General features: G+C 36.9%; 1 long non-coding RNA gene across 1 annotated transcript in view; it reads right to left on the reverse strand.

The window, feature by feature from the left end:
* UFL1-AS1 (UFL1 antisense RNA 1) overlaps positions 1 to 11,881 on the reverse strand; it is a 321,372-nt gene that overhangs the window by 282,141 nt on the left and 27,350 nt on the right. The gene's annotated exons all lie outside the window — the stretch shown is intronic.

Genomic DNA, 11,881 nt, shown 5'->3' on the forward strand with positions numbered 1-11,881 from the left:
AGACACCCTAGGATTTTTGAAATACTAAATGGGCATTGGCTTCAACTTCAAGTCACTAGCTGCATTTGCCCTGAAAAACAGTGTGTCCTTTGAAGCTTTAAAGCCAGACATTGAGTTCTCCTCTCTAGCTATGAAAATCCTAAATGGCATCTTCATCCAATAGAAGGCTGTTTCGCCTACATTGGAAATCTGCTGTTTAGTGTAGCCAATTGCATTGATTTGCTTAGCTAGTTCTTCTGAATAACTTACTGCAGCTTCTATACCAGCATTGGCACTTCTTATGTTTTGGAGATGGCTTCTCTTCTTAAACCCCATGGACCTCACCTCTGCTAGCTTCAAACTTCTCTTCTGCCACTTCCTCAACTCTCTGAAGCTTTACAGAGTTGAAGAGAATTAGGGACTTGCTCTGGATTTGGCTTTGGCTTAAGGGAATGTTGTGGCTGGTTTGATTTTCTACCCAGACCACTAAAACTTTCTCCATATCAGCAATAAGCCTCTTTTGCTTTCTTACCATTCATGTGTTCACTGAAGTAGCACTTTTAATTTCTTTCAAGAACTCTGTCTTTGCATTCACAATTTGGCTCACTGTTTGGCATAAAAGGCCTAGCTTCCAGCCTATCTCAGCTTTTGACATGCTTTGCTCACTAAGCTTAATCACTTCTAGTTTTTGGTTTAAAGTGACAGATTTGTGACCCTTTCTTTCACTTGAACACTTAGAGGCCATTGTAAGGTTATTAACTGGTCTAACTTTAACATTCTTGTGTCTCAGGAAATAGAGACCCACCAAAAAAGGAAAGAGATGGGGGAATGGCCAGTCAATGGAGCAGTCAGAACACATAGAATATTCATTGATTAAGTTTGACATCCTATATGGATGTGGTTTGTAATGCCCCCAAATGAAGTCAATAGTAACATCAAAGATCACTGATCACAGATCACTGTAACAGGTATAACAATAATGAAAAAGTTTGAAATATTGTGAGAATTACCAAAACATGACACAGAGACATAAAGTGAGCATCTGCTCTTGAAAAAATGGTGCCAACAGACTTACTCAAAACACAGTTGGCACAAACCTTCAATTTGTAAAAAATGCAATATCTATGAAGCACAATAAAGCAAAGTGCAGTAAGACAAGGTATCCCTGTACAGCAACACCATATTATATCAGGCAGTTTTCACAAGTTATGCCTTCTACTGAACAAGATTAGACAGATTTTACCACCAGCCTATCATTCTGTTACATCCTTTTTTTCTTCTAAGTTTTAATTTAAAAAAATTTTTTGTTTCCACAGGTTATTGGGGAACAGGTGGTGTTTGGTTATATGAGTACATTCTCTAGTGGTGATTTGTAAGATTTTGGTGCATCCACCACCCAGGCAGTATACACTGCATGCTATTTGTAGTCTTTTACCCCTCACCCACTTCCCACCCTTTCCCCCTGAGTCCCCAAAGCCCATTGTGTCATTCTTATTCCTTTGCATCCTCATAGCTTAGCTCCTACTTGTAAGTGAGAACGTATGATGTTTGGTTTTCCATTCCTGAGTTACTTCACTTAGAATAATGGTCTCCAATCTCATCCAGGTCACGGTGAATGCCATTAATTCATTCCTTTTTATGGGTGAGTAGTATTCCATCATATATATATACAGTTTCTTTATCCACTCGTTAATCAGTAGGCATTTGGGTTGGTTTCACATTTTTGCAATTGCGAATTGTGCTGCTATAAACATGTGTGCACAAATATCTTTTTCATATGAGTTCTTTTGCTCTGGGTAGATACCCAGTAGTGGAAATGCTGGATCAAATGATAGTTCTACTTTTAGCTCTTTAACGAACCTCCACACTGCTTTCCACAGTGGTTGTACTAGTTTACATTCCCACCAGCAGTGTAGTAGTGTTCCCTGTTTACCGCATTCATGCCAACATCTACTATTTTTTAATTTTTTTATTAAAGCCATTCTTGCAGGAGTAAGGTGGTATCGCATTGTGGTTTTGATTTGCAGTTCCCTGATCATTAGTGATGTTGAACATTTTCTCATATGTTTGTTAGCCATTTGTATATTTTCTTTTGAGAATTGTCTATTCATGTCCTTAGCCCACTTTTTGATGGGGTTGTTTTTTTCTTGCTGATTTGTTTGAGTTCGTTGTAGATTCTGGATATTAGTTCTTTGTCAGATGTATAGATTGTGAAGATTTCCTCCCACTCTGTGAGTTGTCTATTTACTCTACTGACTGTTCCTTTTGCCATGCAAAAGCTGTTTCATTTAATTAAGTTCCAGCTATTTATCTTTGTTTTTGTTGCATTTGCTTTTGGGTTTTTGGTCTTGAAATCCTTGCTACGACAGTGTCTAGAAGGGTTTTTCCAAAGTTTTCTTCTAGAATTTTTATAGTTTCAGGTCTTAGATTTAAGTAATTAATCCATCTTGAGTTGATTTTGGTATAAAGTGAAAGATGAGGATCCACTGTCCTCCTACATGTGGCTAGCCAATTATCCCAGCACCATTTGTTGAAAAGAGTGTCCATTCCCCACTTTATGTTCTTGTTTGTTTTGTCAAAGATCAGATGGCTAAAAGTATTTGGGTTTATTTCTGGGTTCTCTATTCTGTTCCATTGGTCTATGTGCCTATTTTTATACCAATACCGTGCTGCTTTGGTGACTATAACCTTATTGTTTGAAATCAGGTAATGTGTTTCCTCCATATTTGTTCTTTTTGCTTACTCTTGCTTTGGCTATATGGGCTCTTATTTGGTTCCATATGAATTTTAGAATTGTTTTTCTAATTCTGTGAAGAATGATGACAGTATTTTGATGGAAATTGCATTGAATTTCTAGATTGCTTTTGGTGTATGGTCATTTTCACAATATTTATTCTCTCATCCATGAGCATGGGATGTGTTTCTATTTGTTTCTGTCATTTATGATATCTTTCAGAAATGTTTTGTAGCTTTCCTTGTAGAGGTCTTTCACCTCCTTGGTTAGGTATATTCCTAAGTGTTTTTTTTGTTTTGTTTTGTTTTTTCCGGCAGCTATTGTAAAAGGGGTTGTGTTCTTAATTTGATTCTCAGCTTAGTCGCTATTGGTGGATAAAAGAGCTGCTGATTTGTGTACATTAATTTTGTATCCAGAAACTTTGCTGAATTATTTTATCAGTTCTAGGAGCTTTCTGGAAGAGTCTTTAGGGTTTTCTACATAAATGATCATATCATCAGCAAAGAGCAACAGTTTGACTTCCTCTTTGCTGATTTGGATGCCCTTTATTTCTTTCTCTTGTCTGATTGCTCTGGCTAGGACTTCTAGTACTATGTTGAAGCAGAATGGTGAAAGTGGACATCCTTGTCTTGTTCCAGTTCTCAGAGGGAATGCTTTCAACTTTTCCCCATTCGGTATTATGTTGGCTATAAATTTGTCATAGGTGGCTTTCATTATATTGAGGTATGTCCCTCATATACCAACTTTGCTGAGAGTTTTAATCATAAAGGGATGCTGGATTTTGTCAAATGCTTTTCTGCTTCTATTGAGATAATCATGTGATTTTTGTTTTCAATTCTGTTTATGTGGTGTATCACATTTATCGACTTGCATGTGCTAAACCATCCCTGCATTCCTGATATGAAACCTATTTGATCATGGTGGATTATCATTGTGATACGTTGTTGGATTCAGTTAGCTAGTATTTTGTTAAGGATTTTAGTATCTATGTTCATCAGGGATATTGTTCTGCAGATTTCTTGTTTGGTTATGTTTTTTACCAGTTTTGGTATTAGGGTGATACTGACTTCAGAGAATGATTTAGGGAGGATTCCTTCTTCTCTATCTTGTGGAATAGTGTCAATAGGATTGGTACCAATTCTTCTTTGAATGTCTGGTAGAATTCTGCTGTGAATCTGTCTGGTCCTGGACTTTTTTTGCTGGTAATTTTTTAATTGCCATTTCAATCTTGCTGCTTGTTATTGGTCTGTTCAGGGTATCTAATTCTTCCTGATTTAAGCTAGAAGGGTTGCACCTTTCCAGGAATTTATCCATCTATTCTAAGTTTTCTAGTTTATGTGTGTAAAGGTGTTCATAGCAGCCTTGAATGATCTTTGTGTGCTGTCAGTTGTAGTATCTTCCATTTTGTTTCTTATTGAGCTTATTTGGATTTTCTTCTTTTCTTGATTAATATTGCTAATGGTCTATCAATTTTATATATCTTCTTAAAGAACTAGCTTTTTGTTTCATTTATCTTTCATAATTTTCTTTTTGTTTCAATTTCATTTAGTTCTGCTCTGATCTTGGTTATTTCCTTTCTTCTGCTGGGTTTGGGTTTGGTTTGTTCTTGCTTCTCTAGTTCCTTGAAGTGTGGCCTTAGATTATTTGTTTGTGCTCTTTCAGACTTTTTGATGTAGGTGTTTAGGGCTATGAGCTTTCCACTTCTCACTGCCTTTGCTGTATCCATGAGGTTTTGATAGCTTGTGTCACTATTGTCGTTCAGTTTGAAGAATTTTGTAATTTCTATGCTGATTTCATTTTGACTACAATGATCATTCAGGAGAAGACTACTTAATGTCTATGATATTTACATGATTTTAAAGGTTTAGAGTTGATTTCCAGTTTTATTCCACTATGGTCTGAAAGACTGTTTGATATCATTTCAATTTTCTTAAATTTATTGGGCTCATTTTGTGGCCTATCATATGGTCTATCTTGGAGGAAGTTTCATATGCTGTTGAATAGAATGTACATTCTGCAGTTGTTGGATGGAATGTTCTGTATATATCTGTTAAGTTCATTTGTTCCATGGTATAAATTCATTGTTTCCTTGTTGACTTTCTGTCTTAATGACAAGTCTAGTGCTGTCAGTGGAGTATTGAAGTCCCCCACAATTATCGTGTTGCTTCTATCTCATTTCTTAGGTCTATTAGTAATTGTTTTATAAATTTGGAAGCGCCAGTCTTAGGTGTATATATATTTATGATTGTCATATGTTCCTGTCAAACAAGGCCTTTTTTCACTATATAATGTCCCTCTTGGTCTTTTTTAACTGCTGTTGCTTTAAAGTTTATTTTGTCTGATATAAGAATAGCTACTCATACTCACTTTTGATATTCATTTGTGTGAAATGTCTTTTTCACCCCTTTACCTTAAGTTTATGTGAGTCCTTATGTGTTAGGTGAGTCTCTTGAAGGTAGCAAGAATTTTTATAATTCTCCAATTCTGTATCTTTTAAGTGGAGATTGAGTCATTTACATTCAATGTTAGTATTGAGATGTGAGGTACCATTGCATTCATTGTGCTATTTATTGCATGTATCCCTTAACTTTTAGCTTTTTGTTTTTGTTTTTTTAAATTTTATTTTTGTTTTATAGGTCCTGTGAGATTTATGCTTTAAAGAGGTTGCGTTTTGATGTGTTTCCACAATTTGTTTCAAGATTTAGAGCTCCTTTTAGCAGTTCTTGTAGTGGTGGCTTGGTAGTGGCAAATTCTCTCAGCATTTGTTTGTCTGAAAATGACTGTATCTTTCCTTCATATATGAAGCTTAGTTTCACTGGATAAAAAACTCTTGGCTTATAATTGTTTTGTTTGAGGAGGCTGAAGATAGGGCCCCAGTCCCTTCTAACTTGTACAGTTTCTTCTGAGAAATCTGCTGTTAATCTGTTAGGTTTTCCTTTATAGGTTACCTGGTGCTTCTGTCTCACAGCTCTTAAGTAAGATTCTTTCCTTCATCTTAACTTTAGATAACCTGATGACAATGTCCCTAGGCAATTATCTTTTTGTGATGAATTTCCCAGATGTTCTTTGTCCTTTTTATATTTGGATGTCTAGGTCTCTAGCGTGGCTAGGGAAGTTTTCCTCAATTATTCCCCCAAATATGTTTTCCAAACTTGTAGATCTCTCTTCTTCTTCAGGAATCCCCATTATTCTTAGGTTTCGTTGTTTAACATAATCCCAGACTTCTTGGAGTCTTTGTTCATATTTTCTTATTCTTTTTTCTTTGTCTTTGTTGGATTGGGTTAATTCAAAGACCTTGTCTTCGAGCTCTGAATTCCTTTCTTCTACTTGTTCAATTCTATTGCTGAGGCTTTCCAGAGCATTTTGCATTTCTATAAGTGTGTCCATTGTTTCCTGAAGTTTTTATTACTTTTTATTTATGCTATCAATTTCGTTGAATATTCCTCCCTTCACCTTTTGTACCATTTTTTGATTTCCTTACACTGGGCTTCACTTTTCCCTGGTGCCTCCCTAATTAGCTTAATAACTAACCTCCCGAATTCTTTTTCAGGTAAATCAGGGATTTCTTCTTCATTTGGATCCGTTGTTGGTGAGCTAGTGTGATTTTTCGGGCGTGGTAAATAACCTTGTTTTGTCATATTACCAGAATTGGTTTTCTGGTTCCTTCTTCTTTGGGCAGGCTCTGTCAGAAGGAAGGTCTAGGGCTGAAGGCTGTTTTTCAGATTGTTTTGTCCCATAGGATGTTGCCCTGATGTAGTACTCTTCCCTTTTTCCTGTGCATGTTGCTTTCTGAGAGCTGAGCTGTAGTGATTGTTATCTCTGTTCTGGATCTAGCAACCTAGCAAGTCTACCAGGCTCCAGGCTGGTACTGGGGGTTGTCTGCACAGAGTCCTGTGATGTGAACCATCTATGGGTCTCTCAGTCATGGAAACCAACACCTGTTCCAGAACTCCCAAGAGTATATGCCCTTTGTCTTCAGTTACCAGGATAAATAGCAACCTTATCTGGCAAACAAAGTTTGCAGACCTGCAGAAAGGCTTAGGAATTGGAGGGTCAAGTATCTCTGTTAGTGAAGGTATAAATGACGCTGTTCACAGGAAGACTGGATGAAAGTCTCTTATCCCCTTCCTCACTCATCACACACACAGATCCACTGTATACTGGTACAAGACAGACAGAACCAGGAGAATCCAAAGATCTGGCCCACAGAGGTTCGAGACTTACAGATAACATCACGGCTGAGGGCAAGAGTGAGATGCAATACTTGAAACAGGAGAATCAGCAAAGTCTACATTATGAATGGTGAAACCCCTGTCTCCTTCACTTTGGCTTAGAAAACTGACAATCCAGATCCTATCTACCACCCATACTTCAAAAGCAGGAAATTGGAGGATTCTTTTCTTGGCATAATCATCCCTGGATGAAAGACCTAACACATTCATTTTTGCTAGTGTTCCACAGTGGAAATGCCAGCTAGATTGCCCTGCAGAGAGGCCACAGTGTACAGTCCAATCAACACATGCAGACAGAGTTTCCAGTCAGTGTGCAGTTCCTCTGTCTGAAATGAGGGCAGTCGAGGACCACCAGACTCTTGAAAAAAAGGGTGCAGGAAGAAGGATAAAGAGCAGAGAAAAACACACACTGCACAAAAGGAATCTGCAGGAACAGAAAGTCTGGATTAAAACTTTATTTAAAAAATATCATTAATGTCTTTATAGAACCAGGCTATTGCTTCTATAAGAAAATAAGAAATTTTAACTGAGACACCAAGGTATGTGAACATCAGATATTAAAATGAATTAAGGGACAACATCCAGTAGTACTTACACATTTTCCAAGTGGTATTGTTGAGAACTAGTTAGACAACCCTAAAACCCACATGGCAAGTAATAAGGAGTAAACAATAAGACTGGAGAAAGGATTTGGAAGGAGGATTTATTTGGTGAGAGTTGCCAGGGTGCTGTGAGCCAAGGGAGAAAGAGGATCTGCACATGTAAGTGTCTGATCCATACCATGGAGTTAGGAGGACACAGGGAACCTTTCTCTGACTCTTGCCTGGGAACTTCGAGGGGCAAGTACAAGCTGGCAGGCTGCTTTGGTGGTGGCAAGAATGAGAGACGCTGTGGGATCCTGGGGGTAAGGAAGGTGTGACTGGTTGAACAGAGCACATTAATTTAAGCCAAGTAAGCTACACCAAGGGGTTTGGTATCCAAAGGACCCATTACTCTGCTCATGATGGGAAAGAAGTCAGCATTAAAGCCTTCCTAGGCCCACTGAAGTGAAATAACCTTGGAATAGCACTAGCAATAAAACGATTGCCTAATTGCACAGAGATACAGCCAAGGAATTGATGGAATTAATGTTATGACTGCATGCTGCTCTTCCTTTTCACATAACTTTCTCCAAAGAATGATTAAAGTTTTGTGTCACTTTATGAGAAACAATGAGTGACCAAACACTTATTTAGCACTTATATTCCAGGCACTTTTATTTTTATTTTTTTTTTTTTTTTGAGATGGAGTCTTGCTCTGTCGCCCAGGGTGGAGTGCAGTGGTGCAATCTCGGCTCACTGCAACCTCTGCCTCACGGATTCACACCATTCTCCTGCCTCAGCCTCCCAAGTAGCTGGACTACAGGCGCCTGCCACCATGCCCAGCTAATTTTTTGTATTTTTAGTAGAGACAGAGTTTCACTGTGTTAGCCAGGATGGTCTAGATCTCCTGACCTCGTGATCCATCTGCCTCGGCCTCCCAAAGTGCTGGGATTACAGGTGTGAGCCACCACACCCGGCCACTATTCCAGGCACTTTCTATGAACTTCATATTAACTCATTGAATCTTCACAACAAGCCTGTTAAATAGGTAATATTATTACCATCATTTCACAAATGAGAAATCCGAGGCCCAAAAAGATGAAGTATTACCAAGGTCATATAGCTGGTAAGTGACACAGCCAAGATTTAAGCACTTTAGTCTGCTTCAGAGTCTGTGCTTTTAACCAAAGGGTTTTACAGTTAGCACGCTCATTCTAGATGAATAAATTATTCCCTGGCATACTCTGTTCATAACACATGATAATAAGAATATTCTGACAGTTTTCACCTCATTTTAAACCACATTTTAATGAAGTAGAACTCTGATGTTTATATTCCTTTATATTCATTACCTTTATATTCATTACCTTTCTTCAAAAATAGAAGCAAAAGAATCTACACTACTCAAGGACTATTGCTATCATAGGATTAGCCTCCAGGGTTCAGAAACATCAGCTCCCCCATGTTGAATTAAGCCAGTAAGTGCACTGTTATTTTGATTAAAAATTTTTAGTTGAGACAATATTTAGGTTCAGATGCATCATAATTTAGAGTTAAGTTTGATGCAGACTATGTTTTAAACATGTGGGACACATTAAAAATAAGTTTGATTTAAGAAGTCAATAAAAGAACAGCAACTTTCTCTGAAAGGTCACTTTTTTGAAGATGGTTGAGTTTCGTTTGATCTAAATAGTTGCCAATATTCTGAGGTATAAATTTCATGGTTTAGGTCATTCAAGACAGAACTGGCAGACCTCGGAAAAAAATAAATATTTTTCCATTCCAACTATCTCTAAAAGGCAACACTGTTAGCATCACCACTTTGATTTTTTAGGCTTCAGAGGATATATCTCACATCTGTTTCATTAAGACAGGTCTAGATTCCCTGATTACTTCCAATTAATTATCATTCATTTCTTTGTTAAATTTTTCTTGTCCAGCTGCTATACAGCAGGAATGTGCTAAACACTGGAAATCCAAAATCAAATAAAATAAATCTGGTCTCTGCTCTCATGGAGTTTACAGTCTAGTGGTTTTCTCAGGATTACCTAGATATACACACTCCATATACCATCTGTAAGCTCAGAAAGTAAATAATTAAGCATGTAGGAATTTTATATAAAACACAGTGAGTAGGCTCTGAATCAGGACCTAAGCGTTTCCTATAAAATAAAACCCATGGGATTTATGATGCAAGTTTAAACACTGAGATGCTTATTTTGCATTCTTTTCAGAGTCATTGTTTTTATTTTATGTCACTATCATTTTGTAAGAAACAGTAACCTTTGCCGCATTCATAAATAAAAACCTTATTTCCTTTAACTATATTCTCAGAGAGTATGTTTGTTTGATTTTCAGTTTCTCTGCATTCGGTCCTGTCTTTTTCTAAGGCAGAAACCAAAGCAAGCGATAGATGAATGAATGCTGAAGCAGCATGCTATCAAGAGATTAGCATCTGGCAACTGGATGAGTTGAAACTAGTAGCTTTCTTGAGCTTCCTAGAATTGAGTTGCACTATGAGCCTAAGAGATTTTTGTTGAAAGAAATCTCACCAAATTTCCTGGCCCTGATAACATTTTAGTCAGGCCTAAAATATACTTCATTCTAACATTCAGTCTTTTGAAACAAACACCACAATAATAAAATAACAATAATAAACAATAATAAAAATAACAATAATAAAATAACAAAACGAAAGTATTGGCAACCTATGAACTCCTCAATACCAAAACTAAATGCAGCACTAAGCTAAACAAGCCTCTATGTTATCTAATGTTCTTTATAAACTCCCCGTGAGGGGTACACAGCAGGTGCTGTGGGGCAGCAGAGATTCTAGACAGAAACATGGTAGGGCTTTTGTTGCAGCTGCTATGCTAGTTACCAGAAGATCAATAAATGATTGGAGCACCTAACACAGTGAATGATTGCAGTGGCATTGAAATAATGATATAGGAAACTACTTAAAATGCATATATGCACTTGCTCTTTGGCTGTCAGGATCTCAAATTCAACATGCCTGGCACCTAAACAATTTCTGAATATTTTGCTTAAAAGAGTTACAAGGTTGATTGTTTTGGGTTTCTTACTTTGACATATAGATTTAGAGAAAAAGAAAAACAATTTAAATTTTTTGCCAATCAATTTAATCAGGTAATAAGTAAAAAATCCAGGAAGAGTTCATTTGCTCAGTGTTTATCCATTTAAATGAATTTTTTGACAGCTAATGTTTATTCTTTCTGGCATGAAAACTTTAAAAATTTTAATCATTTCAACTTCAACAAATGCTTTCAGAATTCTCATGTGCAATTCATTCTTTCTTAAACTCTGAATATTGAATGAAATTTCATCTTTTTCTTGACATAACAGTTTCAGTTACATATTTGCTCTTGCTCTAAATATGCCTTCAGTTATAATTATGGATTTTACAGCTTCTCCATCTTTCCAGAGTTGACAGGAAATGCCACACAACCTCACAGAACGAAAATCATTCAAATTTTCGTGTCCATACTTGTGCTCTCAACACTGATCAGCTGTCCTACTTTTTCTTGTTTAATCTTCCTTTGATTCTACATACAGAATGAAGAATTCCTTTCTGAGATTCCTTTCTTCTCTCTTTTAGATTCTCCACGGAGAATGCAAACTTTTACCCATGTCCTCAAGCTTCCAATTAAACTAGCCACTCTCACTTCCTTCATACTACCTAATACATTGAGAAAGGAGAACTACCATTTGTCCTAGCAATCCCATCACTGGGAAGATATCCAAACACAAATTATTCTACCATAAAGATACATGCACACAAATGTTCATTGCAGCACTATACACATAGCAGAGACATAGTATCAACCTAAATGCCCATCAATGACAGATTAAAGAAAAGATATATGCATACACATGGTGTATATGTATACTATCCCATATACGCCATGGAATACTATGCAGTCATGGAAAACTATGCAGTCATGGAAAAGAATGACATTATGTTTTTTTCAGGAACCTGGATGGAGCTGGAGGATGTTATCCTTAGCAAACTAACACAGGAACAGAAAGCCAAATACCTCATGTTCTCACTTATAAATGGAAGCTAAATGATAAGAACTTAGGAACACAAAGAAGGAACAGACACTGGGGTCTATCAGAAGGGAGGAGGGTGGGAAAAGGTAGAGGAGCAGAAAAGATAACTATTGGGTACTGGGCTTAATAGCTTGGTGATGAAATCATATGTACAACAAAACTTTGTGACACATGTTTACCTGTGTGACAAAACTTTACATGAACCCCCAATCCTAAAATAGAAGTTAAAATATAAAATAAATAAATAAATAAATAGAAAATTTGGCCAAGAGTCTTTCAAA

The sequence above is a fragment of the Homo sapiens genome, chromosome 6 (assembly GCF_000001405.40).
Source record: "Homo sapiens chromosome 6, GRCh38.p14 Primary Assembly".
Taxonomy (NCBI): Eukaryota; Metazoa; Chordata; class Mammalia; order Primates; family Hominidae; genus Homo; species Homo sapiens.